This window comes from Homo sapiens, chromosome 4, assembly GCF_000001405.40.
Source record: "Homo sapiens chromosome 4, GRCh38.p14 Primary Assembly".
Taxonomy (NCBI): domain Eukaryota; kingdom Metazoa; phylum Chordata; class Mammalia; order Primates; family Hominidae; genus Homo; species Homo sapiens.
In genome coordinates, this window is record NC_000004.12 from 180691213 (window position 1) to 180717956 (window position 26744).

Consider the following 26744-nt stretch of genomic DNA (forward strand, 5'->3'; position numbering starts at 1 on the left):
GTTTTGAAAATTCATTCAAATATATGATGTATATGTATTATATGCTAAGTGTATATGTATTTTTTAAATATATAACCATTTTTGGTTTGCTCAATTGTCCTTTGTCAAGTTATTGTTGTTATTTTTTGAGGTTCTTACGCATAACAAATGACCACATAAAAGGCCATTACTCAATGTGTGCTAAAACTTGCTCTTCTCACCAGTAAGTACTTTTAAGCTCAATTTGCCTGACTTTCTATATCCTTAGCCTGCGAAGATACACCCTGGGCCAATTCATTTATATTATCTTGTGTATCTAACAAATTATAAAATAAAAATCAAATTAATATGGTCGACATCTCTTGAGGAATATCTGAAACTGTAGTTTTATTTGTTGTAGATCTGATTTGGGGGTTAGATATCTCATATTTCTAGGATGTTTCCCCATGAAACAAGCAGTCCGGAGATATTTTGCTATGTAGTGTAGCATTGCTATGTTATTTGCTTATGTATAAATTCAGAAGAATGAAAGTAAAATAAAATAATACAAAAAAAGCAAAAGGAGCTACATTGCATTCAAGTCACTTTGTAGTTAAATGGTTCCTTGAAATATAAGCAAAAGAACCTACCTGAATTTCCACCCAGTAGATGTACGAAACCTGGTTTCTATAATCTTCCTGGCTATGGAATTTAAAGAACTTAAAAAAAAAAACTGATTTCAGAAACTCCTGAGCCTACCATTAAAATATCCTTCCCTATAAAATGATTTTACTCATCACAGATGTGTATTTTATAGTAGGTGGGATGCTCTGTCAGGTGTTTATAATTACAGAGATATTACCTGCCACCAAAATATTTACAAATTTGATTTTATAGTTAATGGTATGGAGAGGGAGCTTGTTTTGAGGGAACAGATAACAAGTCTTATGTTAGGCATATTTGAAATTTAAATCAATGGCAAAATATACAGGTTTAGGAGTCCTGAACATTGAGGAGAAGTTAAGTTCTAGAGTTCCTATTTAAGGATCATTCAGGTAGAAGTAGACTGTGATGCAAGAGAAAAACATGTCCAAGAAAGGTATTGGGGCTGCCCTTTCTAAAGCAGATAGGATATATAATAGTCTGTTCTCATGCTGCTATAAGGAACTGCCTGAGACTGAGTAATTTATAAAGAAAAGAGGTTTAATTGACTCAGAGTTCCACAGGGCTGGAGAGACCTCAGGAAATTTACAATCATGGTAGAAGGGAAAGGAAACAGATCCCTCTTCACATGGCAGCAGAAAGGAGAATAATGAAAGCTGAGTGAAGGGGGAAGCCCCTTGAAAAACCATCAGAACTTGTGAGAACTTATGCACTATGGTGAAAATATCATGGGGGAAAATGCCCCCATGATTCACTTACTTCCCGCCAGATACCTCCTACCACACATGGGGATTATAGGAACTACAAGTCAGTATGAGATTTGAGTGGGGACATAGCCAAACAGTATCATTTTACCCCTGACCCCTCCCAAATCTCATGTCCTCACATTTCCAAACACAATCATTCCTTTCCAACAGCCCCCCAGATTGTTAGCTCATTCCAGCATTAACCCAAAAGTCTAAGTCCAAAGTTTCATCTGAGACAAGGCAAGTCCATTCCACCTATGAGCCTGTAAAATCAAAAGCAAGTTAGTTACTTCCTAGATGCAGTGGAGGTTCAGGCATTGGGTAAATACACCCATTCCAAATGGGAGAAATTGACCAAAACAAAGAGGATACAGGCTCCCTTCAAGTCTGAAATCCAGTGAGACAGTAAGTAAATCTTACAGCTCTGAAATAATCTCCTTTGATGCCATTTCTCATTCTAGGTCATATTGATGCAAGAGGTAGCTCCCATGGACTTAGGTAGCTCTTCTCCTGTGGCTTTGCAGGGTACAGCTGCCCTTCTGGCTGCCTTTACAGGCTGGCATTGAGTGCCTGCTGCTTTACCAGGCACATGCTACAAGCTGTAGGTGGATATACCATTATAGGGTCTGGAATACCATGGCCATCTTCTCATAGCTCCACTAGGCAAGTGCCCCAGTGGGGACTCTGTGTGGGGGCTCTGACCCCACATTTCCCTTCTGCACTGCCCTAGCAGAGGTTCTCCATGAGGTATCCACCCCAACAGCAAACTTCTGCCTGGACATCCAGGTGTTTCCATATATCCTCCAAAATCTAGGTAGATGTTCCCAAACCTCAATTCTTGACTTCTGTGCACCCACAGGCTCAACACCATGTGGAAGCTGCTAAGGCTTGGGGATTGCACCCTATGGGGCCATGGCCTGAGCTGTACTTTAGCCCCTTTAAGCCACAGCTGGAGCAGCTAGGACACAGGGCACTAAGTCCCTAGGCTGCACACAGCAGCAGGGGCCTAGGCCTGGCTCACAAAACCATTTTTTTCTCCTAGGCTTCTGGGCCTGTGATGGGAGGGGCTTCCATGAAGATCTCTGACATGCCCTGGAGACATTTGCTCCATTGTCTTGGTGATTACCATTTGGCTTCTTGTTGCTTATGCAAATTTCTGCAGCGGGCTTGAATTTCTTTCCAGGAAAGGGGTTTTCTTTTCTACTGCATCATCAGGCTGCAAAGTTTTCAAATTTTTATGCTCTGCTTCCTCTTGAATGCTTTGCCACTTAGAAATTTCTTCTGCCAGATACCCTAAATCATCTCTCTCAAGTTCAAAATTCCACAGATCTCTGGGCAGAGGCAAAATGTGTCTTTGCCTAGCAAGAGTGACCTTTACTCCAGTTCCCAACAAATTCCCCATCTCCATCAGAGACCACCTCAGCCTGGACTTCATTGCCTATATCACTATTAGTATTTTGGTCAAAGCCAATTCAACAAGTCTTTAGGAAATTCCAAACATTCCCACAATTTTTCTGTCTTCTTCTGAGCCCTCCAAACTGTTGCAACCTCTACCTGTTACCCAGTTCCAAAGTCACTTCCACGTTTTTGGGTACCTATATAGCAGCACCCCACTCTTTGTGGTACCAACTTACTGTATTAGTCTGTTATCATGCTGCTATAAAGAACTACCTGAGACTGGATAATTTGTAAAGAAAAGAGATGTAATTGACTCACAGTTCTGCAGTGCTGGGGAGGCCTCAGGAAACTTTCAATCATGGCAGAAGGGGAAGCAAACATGTCCTTCTTCACATGGCAGCAGGAAGGAGAAGAATGAGAGCCAAGTGAAGGGGGAAGCCCATTAGAAAACCATCAGATCTTGTGAGAACTTACTCACCATCACGAGAATAGGATGGGCGAAACTGACCCCATGATTCAATTACCATCCATTGGCTCCCTCTTACCACATGTGGGGATTTGGGAACTATAACTCAATATGAGATTTGTGTGGGGACACAGCCAAACTGTATCAGGATGCTTGAGGTAGTCAGGGGAGGAAATGAGAATGAAGCTCTGGACTGTGGAGAGTCTCCTGCTAAAATATTAAATCTCTAAAGCAAGTCTAAAAGCTGCCAATCTATTGAAAAATAATCCATGCTACCCTTCGCCTTGGCTGTACTGGTAATGCTGTGGCACACATTAATCTACTGATGAACCTTTAAAATTCTATCCAGGAATCCTCTTTAGATTACAAATCATCCTACAGTGGATAGGGCAGGGTCAATAGAAAGGTTCAATCCCTTCATTTTCAGAGGGCATTTGGTTTTGGAAAGGTAACTCTCAAAGGCATATACCTCAAGGAAAGCATCACCTCACCCATGCTAAGAAAACCCCACTGTTAAAACTCTAGTAGAAAACCCAAGAAAACACCTTTACTCAGGTATAAGTGAGTTGGCTGCTTATTAGTGTGACATGTGACATGCTATGTTTAAGTGCCTACTAGGCTGTTAAGTACATGTTACACTTGTCACTTACATGATTTGACATTTCTCAATACAAAGAGAAAAATGACAACCAATATATCTAGAGTTTTAAAAAGTAATGATACATTCTGAGTATATGAGGCTAAGCAACGAAAAAGATACAATTACATGTTTATGTAAATACTGAGAAACATATTAAGCTAAAATTATATGATAAAAACAAACCTTAGAAACCTGATTGATAGCCATATGTAGCAGATCATACAGTAACTTTTGCACTTGTGTGAGTTTCAGTGGAAACATCCTGCTTTTGTCTTATTTACTTTATTGTATCTGCACCCTTTTGGCAAAGAACACAAGAAAACAGGATTTTACATATAGTAAAAACCCATGTTTTTGTAGATCACTTTATTCCAGATTTATCCATGGGTCTAATGCCATTCCCCCATAAATTAAAATTTGCAAACCATAATACAAAAACTATCTGTATTATCTTTATCTTTTATTCACTTTATTTTCCTAGTCCACAATTTGCCTATTAGATTATGATCAAATTTAGCATCTCAACATTAATGAAAATCAATAGCAGGAACTCAGATAGACAGAATTTAAATTGGTGCCTAGAGAAATCCCTCAATGCCCTCCTCTTACTACAGAAGAAGCCAGAGTTGTGGCTCCAGAGAGTTTCCGCCATTTACTGGCCAATTTTCAATGAGGTAATTCTAGTCATAAATCTTAGTAGGGAAACACTATTGTTGAACACTATAGGTGTTCCATTAATTGAGAGGAACATTGGGTCTGAGATAATACTCTACCTACCCAAGGGCCTTCTTGTTCTCCTGTGTTTGGGTGCACTCAGTTATAAAAAATAAAAAATAAAAACCTGCACTGATTTAACTCTGGCCATTGCAACTGGGATTTCCAAATGCTAAGTGCTAATGCATGATTTAAAAGTATGCTATTTCCTCATTCCTTTTGGGTTGCAAAGCTTTTGTCTCTAAGTTAGAAACATCAAGGTCACTTGAAGGTCAGACAGAATAAACCACATGATGTAAACATCTGTGGTTGGGTTATGCTACATGAACAATTCTGTGGTCTCTTAAATTGGACTTCTAGGTTTGAAATCTGTTCATTTAGAGACTAAAAACGAAAGTTATTTGATTTGATTTTAGTTGATCCAATATCTTCTGAAAGATTAAAATATTACAGCTTAGATAGAATCAATAATGAAGATAAAGGGAAATTTTAAAGTCTGTAGTCATTTTAGTCATGGCTAAATCCTATAAACCCCAATAATTTAAATAAAACTTTGGAAGTTAATCTCGTAGTAACAATTTGAGTTGACTAGTTATATAGTTAAAATACATCACATCAAATTATCTCAAAATGTTTACAACTCCGATACAGATTTTTTTTTCAGACAGCATATAATTTTCTTTATGGAAACTCATTATTCGATGGTACACAAATAAAAAATTATGAAGAACAAGAATGTCACTCTGAGTTCCAAATCGAACAATCTCTTTTTTTCTATGATAGGTTAGTCAATGATAAATGAGATGAAAGATACTTGGAGCTTCCCTTGATATGTAATTCTTCTTGAATTGCATCATTCTGGGATGTTAATGTGTTTTTCCTGTCACATTATGAGATATAATACAGCTCTGGAAAGACTGGCAGTAAAGAAACATTGAGGACTAGAAATTAATTTCCTCAGTGGTTCCTGAAAAATTTCATTAGCCCGGAGAGTTAATTTTACAGTTTTAGTGCAATCATTATTTATCATCTCTTGGTTTATGGGAAAGAATTAGAGTTATTAGCTATTAAATTATCCATGAAAATTTGACACTCCTTTAGACCAAACAAACCCTAGGGCTTGCTGATTTTCCCAGTGTGAAACATCTGTGGCTTCAGCTAGAAAGAACTTAACATTGTCTAATTAGATTTCTAAGATTTATAAGGTTCAAATACTTCATTATTAGAAACTGGAGAATTAGTGCAAAAGGTTAAATTCTCACTTATTCAAGTTTATTTAAAACATCCTTAAATATAAGTGCATTTTAAAAAAATCAAGAGTGTTGGTTTGTAATTTAGTCAAGCCAAGCATGAAGTGCCTAGATATCTATGATCACTTTTAGATATCTGGTATAAATGGGTACACAACTTTCCTTGGAAAATATTGGAAATAATTTGATATTGATTAGATAGTACTGGAGAAATTGTAAACGTTATCACTTTTCCCAAACCATTGAATTAAAGGTACATGTACTTGCTAAAGGTATTTATTAGTCTCTGATTCTTGGTTATCTGAGGAATACAAGACAAACAATATCAACTTAAGAAGTATTATTAGTTTTACAAACTTCCTGCATCTGTTCCTTCTGTGTGTTTTTACTATGAAAAATGTTCAAAAGAAATTAAGGTCTAGACTAGGGGATTAGTAAAGATATTGCAGTCTCCATTTTATTTTTGTGATATTCTCCCAAGGAAACCAACGGGCTTGTTTCTTAGACCTTTCCATATAGGAGACAGTGAAATTCAAATGCTTTTTTTTTTTTTTTTTTTTTTTTTTTTTTTGCAACAGAGAGAACAAGTTTGGATGTAAATATCTGGGATGTCCACTCTTCTTTCAGGCTGCTAAACAAGGTAGCAAAGTTTTTTCTGCCAACTGAGCTGCCACTTACCATCTTAACCCTACATTTTTAGGAATTCATCTCATCCAAGTTGGCTACAGGGGTTATGTTGACAACAGAACCCTGCTGCCACTATATATGAGAGCTCTCCAAGTAACTAGAACCCTACACTGCCAAATAGAACTTGCAGCTTTCACCTCAGGGGTAGGACATGTTTTTCTTCCTACCTCGAAAAAAGACATTGCATTGTACGCTGATGGATTTCAAGAACTTATGCTTAATTGGTTCATTCAACATACAGATAGCCTCAGTTATTTAAAAAAATATGAAAATAAATTCAAGTAAGTGATTTAAGCAGATAATAAATGTCACATATATGATAGATTTAGATAATTTTAACATCTAAACATTTAAGGTGGTCATACACAAAAAAAGGAAGATCATTTGTCCTTGATATTGATGTTTTTTCAAATACCAACTAGAATTCTTTTCCATTCTGGTTTGCAATAATTTTATTTTAGTTGAGAATAATGAATATAAAAATACATCAAATATTAGAGAGACTGTTAAACTTCAACATAATACACAACAGTTGGTCAAAGTATTTCAAAAACTCCCTTTTGCATATAATATGGATATAGTGAAATTATGGATATCAGGAGAAGCCTTAACATCTATAAGAAGAGAAATCCCCTGTTTTATCAAGTGGAAGAAATAAGAAAAGTGGAAAATTGCCCAACAAACAAATGATCATTAAACCTCGGGGAATAGAAAAGAAGATATGATCATTGATCACTATCCTGTGGGAAATTCCAGTCGAGGGGGCTGATAGAATCAAACAAACTACACTAAAAAATAAATGCTAAAGGGAGGCAAAGACAATAGCCGCAACGGGATTTTTTTAAGTGAGAATAATCAATGTGAGTTTCTATAAAGAATAAATTCATGGAGAAAGGGAGGACCTAAAACGTGTGTGAGACTTCATGCACCAGAAAGCCAGGTACGGTCTCCCCAGGCGAGGTAAGAAGGGAAGGGAAGAAGACAGATTGAAACATGAGAAGCCCTAAGGATTACGGTGGTAGGACAGCGTAGTTGGAGTGAAGGGCTCACTTCTGCACTCCCCACACTCCCCCACTGTTAGTATGTAGATTTAGTAGATGCAGGAGGCAGATGAGGCAGATGAGGAGGGTGCCCGGAAAATCTCTGGCTCGCCCCACAAATGCTACATCAGATGCTTTTGTGTAGATGAGGGAAACTGCCCGGGATCTTGTCTGTGCATGCCCACAGTGGACTGGGGGCTTGCCTGTGCACTGGGAGAATGGGGTGGAGCCACAGGGAAATTCATGCCTTGTGCAGTGGGGAGGAGCCTGGCCTCTTCAGCTTGTGTAGATGGCGGCTTGGTAATCAATCTGTTAAGTGGGGGCCTGTTAGCAGGACCCCTCCCGCTTTGCTGAGAGTTTTTTTTCCTTTTTTCCTTTTCACCCAATAAATTTTGCTCTAGGCACTCTTCAACATGTCCACATGCCTAATCGTCCCTGATAGTGTGACAAGAACCCCGTTTTAGGTGAAATAAGAAGCAAAGATTCTGCAACAGGTTCATTATTTTACGCGTTTGTGAAGATTAAATCCCAACTATCTGTATTAGACTGCTCAGGCTACCATAACAGAATAACATAGATTAGATGACTGTAGATGACTGGAAGAAGACAAGTTTATTTTCTCACAGTTCTGGCGACTGCAAGTCCAAGATTAAGATGCCGGTAAGGTCGGTGAGGCCTCATTTCCTGGCTTGCAGACAGCTGCCTTCTCACTGTGACCTCACATGGCCTTTCCTCTGTGTGTACACATCTCTGGTGTCTCTCCTTTTTCGTGTATAGACTCCAATTCTGTTTGATTAGGGACCTGACCTTATGACCTTATTTAACCTTAACTACCTCCTTAAAGGCTCTATCTCCAAATACGGTCACATTGCAGGTTAGAAGTTCAACATTAATTTCGCAGGGAATACACAATTCAGCCCACACAACTCTATCTGCAACTTTACCTTCAGTTTCCCAAGATTGGCCTAGGCTATCATCTCAGAAGGAGAATATCTTCACAACCTTACTTACTATTTGAACCCTCCCACCTGTTTCCCATACTCACAGTGAGGCCTAGAACAGTAAATCTGAAAAAAAGGAGCAGCTAATTTGCTCAAAAAAAATTAATTCAAGGAGATGTCTTTGGGAATGAGGCTTTCAAAAGAAAAAAGATGGTGAAAATAAAACAACTCCCTGGTAAAAACTGAAATAGTGATCACTGGAGTTAGATTTTTGAAATATATGTCAGCTAATTTTAATGTATCACTTTGGGTTAGTGTTTCTAATAAGAGAACCTACCATGAGTTAAAGCTGTAACCTGATTTTCTTTCTCCTTTTTGCTTTTGACTGTTCATTTTCTATTTTATCCCATTCCAAAAAAATAGAGTAGTGCACATCCCTTTAAAAAGCCTCAACAATGGAAGAAAAGATATATTTATTGATGTCTTTTGAAAATGTACCGCCCCTTTAATTTGAGCAGCAACCAAATATGATAATTTGTATTCTCCAACATGAGGAGGACTATCCAGAATTTATAAACTTGTATAAGTGAAATAAAGCTCTATTTTGACCTGTAAATTTTCAGTCAAGCTTTCCTTCAATAGTCCTAAAAAGCCATAAAATGACTTTTGAAAAAAAATTATAGATAATGAATTTTAGGCTTAACCGAAGAAATCTATAATAGAAAAATAGTTCTCCAAAACTCTGAGTATAACAGGAAGTATAATACAATCCTAGATACTAAAATCAATTTTCACATGCACAACTGGAAAGGTTGTATCCGTTTCAAATATGATGTGAAAGAAAGGAATCTGTCATACAATTGTCTTATTCTTTAAAAGACATGAACTTTTTTAAGATTCAAAATATGCTGAAATTAATCGAGACTATTCTTTGGATTTGAAACTAACTCCTAATCATACAATAGGGGCACTTATTTCTTTGTCATCTGGAATTGATGAGGCTGTTAGATGCTAATTTCAGGGTGTCACTAGCAACCATTTTGGGAGTAAAGATTGATTTGAATAACAGTGGGTTTTCCTTGCGGTAAAGTAGAAATACAATTAGAGGAGGAAGCTCATAATTTATCTCAGCTTTATGTAAAAATATTATCAAAAAGGATAAGAGCAACTAACAAATGCTAAAATGTGCCAAGAATTTTAAATCTTCTGTCTGGTTTAAACAAGAATCTGTATCAAATTTTCTTTATGTTAGTTAGTCTTAAAAATATTGGTAAAAATACTGGTATAGATAGATTTAGATTTAGATATTACATCTAGAATTAGGTTAAACAAGATCTGGTAACGTATGTTACTGTGTTACTTGAGCTTGCAAGTGGTTGGAATTTATATCATTGAAAAGATGTCATGATTTTCCAGAAGCCTCAATAATAGCTATTTTTCAGAATGAAAACTCATTTTTATGAACTTAGAAAAATTGCATGAAAGTATTTCATTGGCTTGTAATATGATTCTAGAAGTTGATATTAGGACATCTGGATAGATTATGAAATGTCTGTTTAGTAGGCTCCAATTCAGGGCATAATATTTAGCAACAGAATCTGTAATTTATGCTTTATACTGCAAACTTCTGTGGTTTAATTAAATTTGAGTATTTAAGTGTTATAATAATTATTTATCTAGAATTTCTTTCTAAATCACAATCTGATGTAGGATATTTTCTTGACCTGTTAACAGGACCTGCAACAGTGGTGCCTCATTTACTCGGCCCACCCTGCTCAATCCCTCGCGGGAGGGAGCATGTGAGCAAACAAGTGTGGGAACTGGAGCGAGCAGGTACGGGAGCCAGCTGGTGGCCCAACAGGAGCAAACTCCATTCACTTGGTCCACTGGGGTCCACCCCTCACAGTGGGGAGCACACAAGCGAAGGAGTATAGAAACCAGTTGCCCACTTCATCACTGGTGGGAGCAAACTTCAGGAAGATCCGACAACCATGTTACAATGCTCTCTTAGCTCTGCCATCTGCAGACAGCAGTGACCTGTCAGCTCAATGCACCCCTTGACCCTTACCTCATTGTGTGGAGTGGCTGCCCACCGCATCGAGGGAAAAGGGCGGTGTGACAGCCTTTTTGGGTACCTGCATGTGGTGCATCCCAAATTCTTGTCCAGTGCCCAAGAGGAATGAGGTCACATGAATGAATTGAGGGATGGTGAACGTGGAGAATTTTACTGGGTGGTGAAAGTGGCTCTTAGAGGACTTGACTTCAGGGGAGAGCCCCCTCTCTGCTTTTCTCTTCTGGCCTCATCCAGCCACGGTCTCAAAGTTGCCTCTTCGCGATATCCAGCCACTTCTTCCCAGTCTCCAGCCACTTCTGTCTGCCAGCTAAGTCTGGGGCCTTAATGAGCAAAAGATGTGGGTCAGGTGGGTGGTAGGTAGTTTTGGAAAAGGCGACATTAGACTGGTAAAAAGACATTCTTCAGAAAGAACCAATTGAGGGAGAGCACGCCCACAGGAATGGGAGTTCTCACTTTGGGCTGTGACTTTCAGGCTTTTAAGCTTAAAAGTAGGGTTTCCTCAGGGACACACCCCTGTCTACAAAGAATTTCTCTGCCTGCTGTCACTATCAAATCCATATATTAACAGTTTCAAGTAGTGTTTTTGAGTAGTTTACCTATGAGCAATTTTTGCCCAATGATTCACTTTATCTTTTTAATAACAGAATTTCTATAACCCCAGAATGTGGATTCTTACCGACATTTATATAATGTGTTAGGGAAGAAAAACGTTTCTCTACTCTCATGTTCACTAATTGAGGTCTGTGATTTAACTGACAAGAGAAAGATTAACAGAGGAAAAGTCATAGAAATTTCTTTAATATTTGTGATGTTATGTGCATGGGGGCATCACAAAAACTGAGGTAAAAAACCTGTAGAAGCTGTTAGCTACATCTATCATTTTAACATAGGTTGATAAATTGTGGGAGGTGAGTAGATAAAGGTAAAGCGGTTGGGGCTTCTAAGAGAAATAAATTGTGGGGAGGTGACTGGGAAATATACTGGGAAATTGGTGTTATATAAGGGTTATTTAGTAAAATTTGTTTAAAAATATTTTTTGTTTAAAACAAATTTAAAAATGTTTTAAACAAATTTAAATTTTAGTAAAATTTGTTTTGCAGACTCAATGCTGTCTTTATCTCCAGTGATGAAGGTTATTATTTTCTTCCTGGTAGGGGAGAAAGAGGATATTGTCAAAAAAATGTATGCCCTCCTTTTAGGTAGATAGGGAAATAGCTGCGAGCTCTTCCTATGTTTCTTTTTCTCAGTTTCTTTCAGTTTGAAATAATCATGTCAAAGTAGCATATTATGGGGTGTCATATTTTGATTCCCTTCAAAAGCATTCTATTTGGTTGAATGAATCAATCAATAACAAACAAGTTTGTTTGCTTGGTAATGTAAGCATCTATAGACTTTCACATTTGTGTAACCTAAACAACGAAGTACTTTTTTACGTATGAAAGTTCTTTAATTTAGGAAATGCTAATGTTCGATTTGTTTATAGGTTTTACATCTCTATCTCATTTATTATGTTTTATTTTTAATTTAGTGTAGATATACTAAATATTGACTGTTGTAATAAAAAAATACTTATAAGATTGACTGGAGTGCAGGCATAGGTATCAGAATCCCTAACCTTAGGTAATTCACTTAAAGTATCTGAGAATCAGTTTTCTCATCTATAAAATAGAGAGAATTTTTTTATAATGCTTGTTATATTTACAACAATAACAAATGCTTTCCTTTGTATTTAGGAATCCTTTCAGTCTAATATTTGGCTTTTATGGAATAAACCAATATTTTAGTGTCTTTTTACCATTAATGAAACTCAGTACATTATATTTGGTTTAAATTGTCATATACTATCCGTTCACATCCACATGCACGTAATATAAATCGGTAGAATATATATTTTTCATATTTTCCATGAGACTAAAATATTATTTCTCTCTGATATACTAACATGGGGAAGTTTGTGTCTGTACAATCATATTTCTAAGTTAAATGTTTTGATTGTTTGTAACTTTCATACTAATTATCACCTGGACTGAGTACCACTAACATGCTGAACTTTGCTCTGAAAATATTAAAGAGTGTGTGTGTGTGTGTGTGTGTGTGTGTGTGTGTGTGTGTGTTTAATACTGGAGACAACTGGCAATGAATCATAAGAAAAGAATCCCAAGTCAAGTTAAAGTAAAACATGTAAACTACAATAGAATATTTGAACTAATGTAAGCCTTATCTTTACTCTTTTTATCCTATTTGAAGTAGGAGAGTAGGAATATATTTGTATTATGCAAATTAACAGCAAGTTTGTCTAATTTTTTTCTAGATACTCATAGAGATATAACATAGCCTGCTATGAAGCAGGTCACTCTTTTAAAATGAGCACATTCATCTTGTATTTTTCTTGCCTCTAAATGCATGACAGCTAATATATAAAAACAAAGTGCTTTTAAAGGATGGAAATTATTTTATGTTTACAAAATATGCTTGGGTAACAATGCATTTCAAATATTCAACATTTTGAATTTGTTTGGTGCTAGCACCAAGCTGAATGATTTAATGTACTTTCCATGTGAATCTTACATACATTTTCATTAATGTATATATGTTGTCATTGCTTTAAGAAGAAATTAATTCACATTGAATGGGTTCATTTTTATTTCATAAATTATACTCCATAAAATCTGGCCACTAAATATTTCATTTTTAGCTATTAAAGAATTAAAATCATTTAGTTGGTTATTCATACCTTTTATTTGCTTTCCTACATATATTATGGGTCAAACAGAAGAGCCATCTGTGATCTCAATACCCTTTCTCACACTACTATTCCTACTTTTTCTGTAAACAACAACAGCATAAATACTTTATATTTATTCTCTGCCCACTGATTTAAACTTTTAACTTTAAAAAATTAGCTCTAGCCTCTATTATACTGAGCATGGCTTGTCTTGGATTTCTGGCCTGAGGGTGCAAAGAGAGCAAAGGATTTGACACACCAAGCACAGTTTGTATTTAACTCTAGTATAAAAGTTAAAAGACAACAGTCTTAAAAACAATTTTATCCACAATAATTTGGTAATGGATTAACCATATAAGAAGTAAAGTGTGACATCAACAGCAAAAAATGTGGAAGTAATTGTGTAGAGATTTTGTATGTAATTGAAGATAAATTGTTATTACCTTAAAATAAACTTTTAAATGAGACAGGTTTTGTAAGACATGTATACCACAAAGAGAAAACCTCTGGTAGTTATAGAAAAGATGAAGAAACCAGGAGTCTAAGCATACCACTACAAAAAATCAAATCACGAAGGAACAGAAAGGAAGAAAGGAAAAAAAACTTTCCATACATTCAGAAAACAATTAACAAAATCGTGATGTCAAGTCCTTACCTATCAATAATTTCTTTAAATGTAAATGAATGAAATTCTCTAATCAAAAGACATACAGCAGATGCACAGATTTTAAACCTTCCTACTTTGCCAATATAAGCATTTAAAGCATTTAAATGCATTAGCTATGTCTCATAAATTTAATATTAAATGTTTTATTATTCAGTTTGATATTTTGGACATTTCTAATTTGATTCATGTATTATTTAGATGTGTGATGCTTAAATTTTATACAATTAGATTTTCCTGCATTTTTTTCAATTTTTGGTTTCTAGCTTAATTTGTTCTTTGTGGTCCTAGAGCCTATTGTGATTATTATCAACTTTAAATTTGTTAAGGCTTTCCTTGATATCCAAGCATCTGGTCAATTTTTGTAAATGTTCTAGGTCTAGTTGTAATAAATATGAATTTCGTTCTTGTTGGGCGAAGCATTCAACTTGTCTCAGTTGGATTGTTCATTAATTGTGTTTTCAAATTTTTATTATTATTACTGTTTTATATCTGCTCATTCTGTCATTTATTGCTAGAAGTATGTTACAATCTAACACTCTGGGAATTTATCCATGTCTCCTTTTATTGTTGTCAATAAATTTTTGTTAAGTGTTTTTAATCTACATTATCAGGTATATAAATGTTTATAGTTAGGTATATTCTTTGTGTATTGACACTTTTATTCATTATGAAAAGAGTCTTTCTTTACCTTTAGTAAAGCTTCTTGCCCTAAAAGTATTTTTTTCTGATATTAGTGTAGCTATATCAGCTTTATTTTGATTAGTAATTTATGGTAATCTCTTCCCATCCTATTACTTTCAACCTTCCATGTCTTTATCTCATATTTAAAGTAAATGACTTGTGTTCAGGATTTAGCTCTCACTGTTATTTTAATCTGATAGTCTTAGTCTTTCCTCTGACATATGTTATTTGCAATTAATTCAATTTAATTACTTTGATGTAGTTTTATTTTCATCTGTGATCTTGCTATGTGCGGTGTATTAGGCCTCCCTTTTTATGTTCATTTTTTGCTTCTTGACTTCTTTTAGCAAAATTAAGCATTTATCTATTACTTTATTATTTTCCTTTTAACTTAGTTATATTTCCTTCCTATGCTTTTAGTGGTTCCTTAGAGGTTACAACATGCATCATTGACTTACTACAGTTTAATTTTCAAAAACTTTTTGTCCCAGCTACTAGAGAGGCTGAGGTGGGTGGATTGCTGGAGTTCAGGAGGCAGACACTGTTGTGAACTGAGATCACCCAACTGCATCCTATCCTGGGTGACAGAGCGAGACCCTGTCCCAAACAACAACAACAGCAAAAACCTCTTATTACTAACCCATGTTGCTTGAAACTTAGAAACTTTAAACTTTGTTAATCCTTTTTCTAACTTTGCATTATTATTTTCATGCATTTTGCTTCTACAAATCATTTACGTCTTATAACACATACAATTGCTTTGTACAGTTAAGATCCTTCAATGTTCATTTACTTATATACTACTATGTTTATTTACTTATATATACTAGTGTTCTTGTTCTTTTTGTTTGTTTCCAGGTTTCCATCTAGGATTACTTTTTTTCTATCTAAAGAAGACTTTTTGGGTTCTCTTTTAATATAAGCCAGCTGGAAATGAATTTTTTTGTTATTGCCTTGTTTAGAACCAATCAATTTTGTTTCATCTTCAGGTTTTAAGAGTATTTCAACTTGGTATAGAACATTAGTTGACAATGACTTTCTTTCATCGTCTTGAGAATGATATCTCATTGTTTTGTGGCTTCCATAATTTTATTCAGAAATCAGCTGCCAGTCTTATTGTTGTTCCTTTGATGGCAATGTATCTTTTTTTTTCTGGCTGCTTTTACAATTTCCTTTTCCTCCTCTTGGCTATCAGCAAAATCTCTGTGTGGGGTCTGTGTGTGTGCATGCTTTTCATATCTGGGTCTTGTCGTGGTTATGGGCCTACATATCCATGTCCTTTCATTAGTGTTAGAAAATTCCTATTCAATATGTCTTTTAATATTTACTTCTGCCCCATTACCTCCTCTCCTTCAGTAAACTTAATTTTAGGAATGTTAGATATTTTGAGTTTTTTTCTATAGGTCTCTTACACAGTGTTCTGTTTCTTAATTCTTCCCCAATCTTGTGTACTTTAGTTTGTGTATTTTCTGTTTATTTTTCCTGAGATTACCACTTCTTTTTTTCATTCTGTCTAGTCTGAGACAGACCTCATCCAACAAATTCTTTATATCACATATTGTATTTCTCAGTTCTAGAATGTCCATTGAATTCCTTTTTCAGATCAGAGTTTTCTGTTGAAATTCTTTGTCCTTCATTCTGTTTTAACAATATTGCATTCTGTTTTCTGTTGTTTTAAATATATCACCAAGATTTGATTGAGAGTCTGATGAAAAGCATTTTCCTTTCTTTGAAAATTGTGGCAGATATAGCTCTTCCTTTAAGGTGTTCCAGGCTTTCTTATCATCTCCTCATTTTATAGAAATCCCCTAACTCTCATATGCTTGGAGAGGAAGCAGTCATTATAGTTGATGTAGGCCCCTTTCTCTCTTTCTGGTCAGGTATTTTTTTTTTTTTTTTTTTTTTTGTGCTAAGCACCACAAGACAACAGAATATTTTTTTTCTGCATTTAGAAGTTTCAGCCTAGCTAGTTTCCTATAGAGGACACAGGCCATAGAGTTGAGTTTCCTCAAGTTTTCACTTTGTGCCATCAGTCCTGTTTTACTACTAAAAGCTTCTCTAATTTCTCTTTATGTGAGGTTTCTTCTGAATAGCCAAATTAAGCCTGTACCCAAACTTGGCATATGTCCTCAAGAGGACAACAGATACAGAAAAATTTTATCTCACTAAAGAAACATTCCCTCCCTGGAATTTTCATTTGTATAATGTTCATTGCTTTCCCAAACCTCTAATGCAAATCAAAATATGTCATTTATCCATCCAGCTTTTTGAAGAAGTGTCATTATTCTTCAATTTCCTAATATTTTGTACTAGAACTGCATTAAGTTATTTAAATATATATGCTTAATGTTGTGACGAAAATTAGAGTGAAATGTGTTGCTGTGTTCAAATTAAATATTGCATTTTCATTGGTTAAACTTAATAAATGTAATGTAGGACAGATATTCTTGCATGGATATTTCTATAGTTGTTTCATAATTTAACAACAATCCAAGAAGTTTGGGTCTCACATGTACAGAGAAAAAACTTTGCAGTCTGTGATAGGCAGCCTCTAAGATGGCACCTAATGATTGTCACACCTTGATATTCGCACTCCATTATCCTTTCCTTTTGAATGTGGACTGGATTTAGTGACTTGCTTTTAGTGAATGTAATGTGTCAGACAAGACGGAGTATTACTTTCAAGAATAAGTTACAAAAGGAGTCACGCATTTATCCTATGCATCTCCTGTTGCTTTCTTGCTTGCTGGCTGGCAAAGCAAGCTGTCATGTTGTGAGAAGCCCTGTGGATAATCCCTTGTGGCAAGGAGGTAATGCCTATGGCCAACAGCCAGTAAGGACTGGGCCTTGCCAACAACCACATAAGTGAGCTTGAAAGTGAATTGTCCCCATTCAAGCCTTGAGATGACTGCAGCCCGGGCCAGCAACTTGATTGCAGCGTTTTGAGAGACCCTACACCAGACACACCTGGCTAATTTCTACTTAGACTTTTTACTCCACAAAAACTAAGAGATAATAAATCTGTTACTTTAAACTGCTGAGTATTGTTTACTTTGCCGTACGTAAGCAGTATAGACAGACTTTTACATAAATCCTGATTCCAATGCTTATCCATTGTGCATTATGATTAAGTTATAGCACAATCTCAGTTTCCTCATCTCTATAAAAAGTGAAAGGAGGCAGAGGCCAGCAGATCACTTGAGGTCAGGGGTGCAAGACCAGCCTGGCCAACATGGTGAAACCCCGTCTCTACTAAAAATACAAAAATTAGCCAGGCGTGGTGGCTCATGCCTGTAATCCCAGCTACTTGGGAGGCTGAGGCAGGGGAATTGCTTGAATCCAGGAGGCGGAGGTTGCAGTGAGCTGAGATCATGCCACTGTACTTCAGCCTGGCCGACAGAGTGAGACTCCATCTCAATTAAAAAAAAAAAAAAAAGTGATGATGTCTACCCTAATAGCAAAGTAAGACCCAAAGAAGGGAAAATCTCTTAGAAAAGAAAGCTAATTTATATTCAAGATATTTTGCAAAGGAGTTTCAACTTTAGAATGCTTGCTTGCCAATTAAAAAAAATCTGACATGTACTTAAAGGGAAAAAAATTACAAAATTGCCAAGGTTACAATTAGCCTATAGTGGAAAACAGTATTTTATTTTATTTTTTTTATGCATTGCAAAATCATCAGGTATCTTCCGAAACCAGAAAAGCAAAAGTCAGTCAGGGATCAGGTTTTTTGTTTTTTGTTTGTTTGTTTGTTTGTTTTTTAACCAGTGACTCAGTCGGGTGCAGGAGAGTACTCAGCTCAAACAGTTGTCATTTATTTCAGTGATGCAAAGTAAAGATACTGACCTTTTGTTTTTCTCATTGTTCATCTCAGGATACAACATAAGCATGCATGTGTGTGTGCATGTGAGTGTTTCTTTTTCTGTTTGATTTGTAGTGTGTGATTTGCTCTCTGTACAGGAAGGCATGTTGCTTTTTTTCCACATCTGTGGGTTTAAATGAGATAAAGTATCTAAGCAAGTTTTCCTTCCTTCTGCAATATGAGAATCTTTTTCTGTAAAAAGAAACTTTTCTGTAAATTTTATGAATTTATTCTGTAAAACACATCTGTAAAATTGTCAAATGTCCTGTATTCAGTATTGAAAAACAACCTTTCTTACCCCTAATTTAAGAATGTTGGGCCGGGCACAGTGGCTCAAGTCTGTAATACCAGCACTTTGAGAGGCTGAGGCAGGTGGATCAACTGAGGTCAGAAGTTTGACACCAGCCTGGCCAACACGGGGAAACCCTGTCTCTACTAAAAATACAAAAATTAACCGGGCATGGTGGGGGACGGGGGGCGTGTAATCCCAGCTACTCAGGAGGCTGAAGCATGAGAATCGCTTGAACCCTGGAGGCAGAGGTTGCAGTGAGCCGAGATCACACCACTCCGCTCCAGTGCGGGGGATAGAGTGAGACTCTGTCTCCAAATAAATAAATACATAAATAAGGATGTCTTCACCCTTTTCAAACATCCTTCTAATCTCTCAAATTTATTTTATTACAACCACTACTTTCATTAACTTCTCTGTAGCCCTAGTCTTCATTGCACTCTGTCTATCATTCCTCAAAATTGTTTATGCTAACCTTGAAAATACCGCTTCCCTCTATTTTCTATAATTGTAATTTAAATTTTCCTGTTAGTTTTCAACATTATTCCTTATTGCTTGATCTTTAATAATTTTAAAGACATTTTCTTTTGTCTTCAATGTATCTATATGTTTGGCAAATTAAAGATGGAAAGGCTCTATTTGTCATTCTGCTGAAAGAGACAGTAAACCTTGGTGAGAAATTGAATGCCTTAAAGGTGGATGCTGACGGGAGAATGAGAGTATATTACAAAGAATCTTAGACATTTAGAGGAAATGCTGGAGTCAATGATATATATTGAGCTACATTGAAAGGGCTGGATTACTCATGCCTAGAAAATCCATAAAAACAAATTCAGGAAAGAGGACCAAGGAAAACCGAAGAATGTGCTGTTTAAAATTGTAGGCTCCATTCAGAGGAGCATGGCGAGAGATTCTCTATTTCTAGAGCACAGATGGGCTAGTCAGGGAAATTCTGAACACAGAAACTAAGGAATCAAGTGTGTATTGGAGTTTAGGCAACTCCAGAGAATTCTGCCTAAAGCTAAATAGTTAGGGTTGAAACCCTGAGAGGGAAAATCCCTCGAAGGGACTCAGTGAATAATAAATAGATAGTTCCCCTGAAGGTGGAAGTAAGTAATAACTGGCAGAAAAGGACCTGCAGGCTTGATGCATGCTCAGGGAGAAAACTGTAAATGGAAGAGAATGAAACTGATTGGTCCTAGAATAAACAGGATACACGTTTGAAAATGTGCCAGTGTGTAATATTTTACCCATGGTGTAGCTTCCTTAAATGCAGTTTTCTAGCATCAACATTTCAAACTTAGTTCTGTACACCTACTTGCTGCATCCTACTGAGGTTCAAGAATATCCACTACCCCATACCCTAGTGGCTGCTTCAATGTGCGTGACACTGGGAAATATGGATATTTACAAGGATGCCTCTTCTGTTGCTGAATAATTCAAATTATTTTAAAAAATTCTTCATTCTTTCCAGCCCCTGTTTGCTTTTTGATGATGATTATTAATACCTGTTAGCCTTAGTTCTACCTTATAAGCCAACACAGAATTTTTATGATGGCCTTCCAAATGTGTGGGTCTATCCTATACAGCTATTCCCTTTATCAGTGAAAATATCTCAGGTTTCATTAACTATTTATGTGACATGGTTTTGGGGATCCTCATCATTTTAATTGCCTTTCTCCTGGAAGTCTTCAGCTGTCAGTTTTAAAAAAAATATTTCAGATGGATTTTTAAGGTATTTCACCTTGCATATGAAAGATATTTTATCATCTGATTGAATGGACAAGAAATGGGTATGGGAAAAGGAAACAAGGGCACGAATCTGGACTGAGCTAAGTAAAATATGAATATTCGACTTAGATTTGTGACTAAGAAACCATACTTCTGTTTATTGCAACTAAGGCTACATTTAACTTTTGTTGATGCTTATTTATTTTTGTATTCATCTTAAAGCAGTTTTTGTGTTACCGTTGGCTCAGTCTGTGTGTTCAAATGCATTTAGATCTTTCCACAAGAGCCACTACAATCTGAGGCCTCCAAATTGATTTTTTACCTAAATTTAAACTTTAGTAATTACCCCGTTTCAATTCCACTTTGTTAGTTTTAGTCTAGCATGCTAGGGAAATAATTTTGAATCTTGATTATTTATGTGATTTTTAGATTTGTAAAACAAATTTGCCGTGTGTTCTAAGTCATCAGTTTTAAAATGTTGCCGGCCATAATCGTATGTTATGTCATTAGAAGTATTTGTATAAGAAGACATCAATCCACTAATCATAATTTGACTTTAATTGTTTAGTGAGTTGTGAATTTTACATAATTGCACCATCGCCTAATATAGAGCTTCACATTTTATCTACGTGATTATAATTAGATGCTCTGTCAAAGTCTCAGCTGAAATCAAGATTATCTATGGCATTCGCTTGATAAACCAACCAATCAATCAATTGTATCCTTACAATAATTGATGTTATTTGTGGAGCTCTTATTGGATCCTTGTGGATACCATTTTTATTTCACATATACCAACTATTTGTTTTTCAGCTGTTTTTCCACTGTTCTATAGTTTCTTAAATATTTTTTCAAATTTTTGTGTGTGTAAACAAGGAAAAGATATAATAATATATACAGAAATTTTATTTACCCATTTACAATCTTTTGCTTCCTCTGATAACCATTATTCTGTAAATATTTCTAGTTGAGACTGTGAGATCACAACATTTGCCTTTTATACATTTAGGGGGTTAGTTCATGGAAGCCTAAGATCTCGAGTACATTTGAAAATATCAGCCCCAGGGTTTGCATCTCTGAACCTATTTTGGCCATTTACTACCTCTCTTTATTGCAAGAGCTATTCCTATTGCTAGGACAAAAGAGAGAGAGAGAGAGAAACAGACATGAAATAGATTGTTCTTTACACAAACTATCTTGAACAATTCTGTTTTCTGCCTATGGATATGAAGGATCTTGCTAGAGAAGAAGAAAGAGGAAAATATATAATTCGTAGGCTTTTAGGTTTTAGGGAGAATCGTTTGCTCGAGGTAGCTAAAGAAATAAGATTCAGCAGGAGTACCCTTTGTTTTGAGCTTCAGACATTTCTTCCTGCTTTTCTCTAAGCAATGTCTCTTCTCTACTTCAAAAGTTTAATTATAGCTAAACCAGTGGCATTTTCCTAAAATACAATCTTCTGGAAATCATAACTTCAGCAATCTTTCTAGAATTCATGAATATAAACATATAGTGAATTTTGTGTTTATCAGGTAAACAGCTTTTTCTTTCACTCGCTTTAACATCTTACTCAATGATACAAAGATTATTTATGCACCAATAAATAAAATTTCATTAAAGAATTGCAAAAGGAAGGAGAATATTGAACCCAGAAATCTTGCTAAATCCAAAACATCAAATTGTAGTTATCTTCAATGGGAAGAGGAAAAGGGAATCTATGTTTAGACTTTTGTTTTCCCCTGGATAATATATTAGAACCTCACTATTGGTTAACATACCTTAGGGAAGAGCCAAGTGTGAAGCAGTTCGAAATACAATAGTACAGTTTCCATTTATTATTTTCCTGCTGTGATTAGATAATTAGTAAGGTACTTTGTGTTTAGGTGAATTTTCACTAGAAAAGCAGTAGAATTAAATTGAATTGGCAAAAGTGCCATTTATTTCTTCTCTTCTTTAATGTGTTGATTTCTTCATGCCAGTTTCCAACGATGAGCTCAGCGTGTGTTCTCACATAATTTAACCTTTATTCCTTATAATTAAATCTAAACATACATTGAAATCAAAGCTGCTTAGCTATTTAAGTATATATCTAACAATTACAAATGAGCATGATCTATTTTAATAAAACTAAAAAGGATACCCATTTCCGTTCATGAATACAGTGTGTACTAATAAGTGAGCAACCCCTTCAGAAGAAATGGGCTCAAATTTGCCCTTCATGCAGGGTAACGTTTGGCTTCTGTGGCACAAACATGCTATTTCATTGAAATTAATTATGCCAATCGAAAGGTATTTAGTAAATACTCCTTATTTATTATTATTCTACGCAAAATGGAAGATGGAAAATAAGTTGTTTCTTTATTTGAATTCCTGTGAAACAACTGTAGTTGAGTTGGGGAGATATCCATAAGAAGCAAAATAAAGAATGAGAGAAAGAAAAGATGGGTAAATTTGATGTATAGAATGTATACGTTAGTGGTATTAAGGGAAAGGATTAGCAAGGAGCAGGACTGGGACAGAAGAGGTGCTTAGTAAATTTACAAGAATGATTCAATGGATGAACAAGTTGTAGAAAGAAGTATCAGTGACACTTAAAGTCACCAGAAGGTAACTATAGAATAAGAAGCGCTGCAAATGGAATACTAGTGTGTTTGATAAGTGAAGATATGGATGGGATTTTGAGAGGAGAAACTAGCATACCAGATTCGGAGGAGAATCAAGAACAACATTCAGGAACAGGAGGAAGCACAGAGAAGAAGACAGAATCAACCTGATATGGTTTGGCTGTGTCCCCACCCAAATTTCATCTTGAATTGTAGCTCCTGTATTTCCTACATATGGAGGAACCTGGTGCGAGATAACTGAATCATGGGTGCGGTTTCCCCCACACTGTTCTTATGGAAGTGAGTAAATCCCATAAAACCTGATGGTTTTATAAGGGTTTTTTTTTTTCTCTTGGTTCTCACTCTCTCTTGCCTGCCACCATGTAAGACATGCCTTTTGCCTTCCACCATGATTGTGAGGCCTCCCTGCCATGTGGAACTGTGAGTCAATTAAACCTCTTTCTTTTTTAATTACTCAGTCTCGCATGTGTCTTTATGAGCAGCATGAGAACAGACACAGCCCAGAGTTTTGACCTGGGACACAAAGGTAAAATTGGTTACATTACTTACAGTTTTATGCTATGGTCAAATTGCATTATTTTTCAAATGATCTGCATTTCAATAACGTTATTTTCAGTTAGATTTTGTGTTTGAACATAGTATGGTCTAGGTAAAGTGAAGGAACACACTGTTTTGTTTGATTTAGTGTTTCTCCACTTTTTAAAATTACCCCCGCTTTGACACACTAACAAAGCAAAAGTATGTGAAGACACCAGACTGTGAGTGGAGTGCATTCCAAAGGGACAGGACAAACATGTATTTTTGATATTTTTATTGTTACAAGAAACTGAAAATCATAGTAATGTAATTTATACATATTTTGAAATTTATACATCCACATTTCCTGGTATTCTGATATTCCAAATAGCACAAGTATCACAACCAGAAAATATTTATACAATTTCAAACTATTTATATTAAAATCCTCTATTACAACACTAGAGTAGAATCTCAACATTATTTACTTTCATAAATCCCCAGACCACCCAATTGTTCAAAACATCTAAATTACCCTTAAAATATAGTAACAGAAATTCTAAAATGTAAGTGAACCATTTATTGTCTTAAAAGGTTCTAAGTATTCATCTTGAAAATAGAATATTTTACACCAAAATAAATTGTATTATACATTTTAGTACATTCTTACTATTGTGACATGAACCATAAACTTAGGTTTTCAGCATTTTTTTTTCATACTGCTTCAAGAGAGACATGGAATAAATAATGATTATGTGAAAATGATAGAGGTACTGTTGATTCATTCATTGGCCCAATTTGTACTGGCCACCCACTCAAGTAGGAGGCACTAGGATTTGGTCCAAGCTCATCCATCATACCACACACCTTTGAAGTTGCTTGTGACACTCATGTTAAATCTACTAATGGAAAGAATAAATATATTCACAATTAAAAATGGTTGTGTTCTTCCAAAGAGGCAGATAATTTAAAATAATCAGTTCAAAATTAATTTTATAAGAAACAAATGAATACAGGGTTTATAGTCTAGGAGGTTAAAATAGCATCTGTCTCATTCTTCTTTTTATGTTGAATTAGTACAAATAGTAGGCAGATGGCTGGTGGAAATAAAGACTGATACTTTACCAACAAAGTCTAGCTGGGCCATGGAAGACAACAGACAACCATTTGCCTGAGTAATCTTCATATTTTCCTTGTTTGTCGTTGGACACAATAGGTAGCCCAGTATTTTATTTGAAGAGATGTATTATGGAGGCAGAATGCCTATGCACAAATCTCAGTCTCTCTGGTGAGAACTTTGCCTAATTTTTCTGTACCTCACTTTACTCAGTTGTAAAATGAGGATAATGATATAACCTCCACTCCTTCTTTAAGGATTGTTTTTAGGATTAAATGAAGTGATCTCTGTAAAGCACTTTGAAAAACACTAGATGCTAAATAAACATTAGCCATTTTTCTGACTGCTTTCAGTGAAGTGAAGTGCAGATGCTGGGCCAAGCTCACTAATCATGTAACTACACCTCTCCACTCTGACTCCAGTGAAAAGGGGCTTTTCATTTCTCTTTGCCGTCAACTTCTGTTATCCAGACATCAATGTATCTAAATTGTTTCAAGATTAAAAAGGAAAAAAAGAATAAACAGAAAAGCTACTGGAGACATGGTCGTTCTAAAATATCTCCACTGGCAATTGTGACATAAATGCCAGTGGAGGAGATGATTTTGTAACATCTACTGAGCTGAGTTGACAACCTACATCCTTTCTCCCTGTACCTTAGCGGAACACCCTTAGTGGAATGCCTGCCACAGTAGCAAACTGCTTTGTCTCTAAGTCTAAGCATCAATTAATGAACCAATACCTTAAGTAGAGAGGTAGAAGAGGCAAAGTAAAGATATCTGCTGCCATGAGGTACTAGGAGTGAGCAATGATTGTTCACTGACACAACTGGTCCATGGTGCCTTGGATGTTTTCAGGCAAATGTTGGGTTTTACATATTCATATGGATCCTTTCTTTATTCTCATAGCTTGCTACTCATTATTTCACGTTGGAAGATTTGTGTCACCAGGAAGACTTGGTGGGACCAGAGTGCAAGGTGATGGAGGATGGTGTGCAGATAATGGAGTGAGATGATTTTATAGAAGTAGTCAAGTACCCAGACAAATAGAGTAGACTAGGAATAGATTTCTCTATTTCTCTTAAGCTATGGAGAAATTTAAACAGGAAATCCATATAATATAATTCAAAATGAGAAGGAAGGAAGAGGTTAAATTATAATCTTTACAAAAAAGCCTGAGATTGTGAGGAAAATGGAGGGGTTCAATATAATAAAGGATTTCTTATCTTCTGTCTTGGCGAAGAGAGACAGGATGTCCTTGCTAGTTGGGCTGAGTGATCATGAGAATCAAATTAAGGAATGATTATAAGGGGTGGTTTGATCTCAACTTTATCAAAGATGAGGTTGTCAAGTGTGAGAGATAAAAGTTCCTCAGGCACACTGAGCACACTAGTTCAGAAGCATTTCATAGATATTAGCATTTTTATTTATAAACACTTTGAGGGCAAGGTTGGTGTTAGTATGAGATAAAAATAGGACATTTATTCGGTGGTAGAAAGAAATTTAGCATAAACTAATATTGCAGCAAAGGGAAGTGAGTTTCAGGATGGCCAGCTTACTTTATGTGCTGGGAACTTGCAGGATGTTCTTATTAAACTACTTCCTATTGCATCAGGACTGCAAAGTTCAACATGCATTTATAGTTAAGTTCAACGCTGTCACTATGTGTTAGGAAATTTGCAAACCAAGGTATGTACTTGCAAGAGAAATCTAGTTCTTGCACTTTGCTGTCTCATTAAGGTAATATGATGCAAGGGGCCAACCCACAATTAAAACTGTATTTTTTATTAGACTGAGCTGCGGACTGTGACTTTTGGTATTCTATCATGTGTCACAGGAGGCACTGCATCATAAAGGTCATTCCAATAACACTGTGAACTAAACAAATGAGTCGACTCTTTACTAAGGTTAGTGCTGTTTAAAGCTGGAAGGCTTTATTTGTCTTAGAGGAATAGAAGAGAG

The 26744-nt window shown here is 35.8% G+C and overlaps 1 annotated feature.

Annotated features, from left to right (window-relative positions):
- Positions 7253 to 8452: an enhancer, noted in NCBI's record as "MED14-independent group 3 enhancer chr4:181619618-181620817 (GRCh37/hg19 assembly coordinates)". NCBI's record gives its function as "activates an origin of replication core promoter dependent on BRD2, BRD4, P300/CBP and CDK7 cofactors, and independent of MED14, by STARR-seq in HCT116 cells {active_cell/tissue: HCT116}" and the evidence as "EXISTENCE:reporter gene assay evidence [ECO:0000049][PMID:35650434]".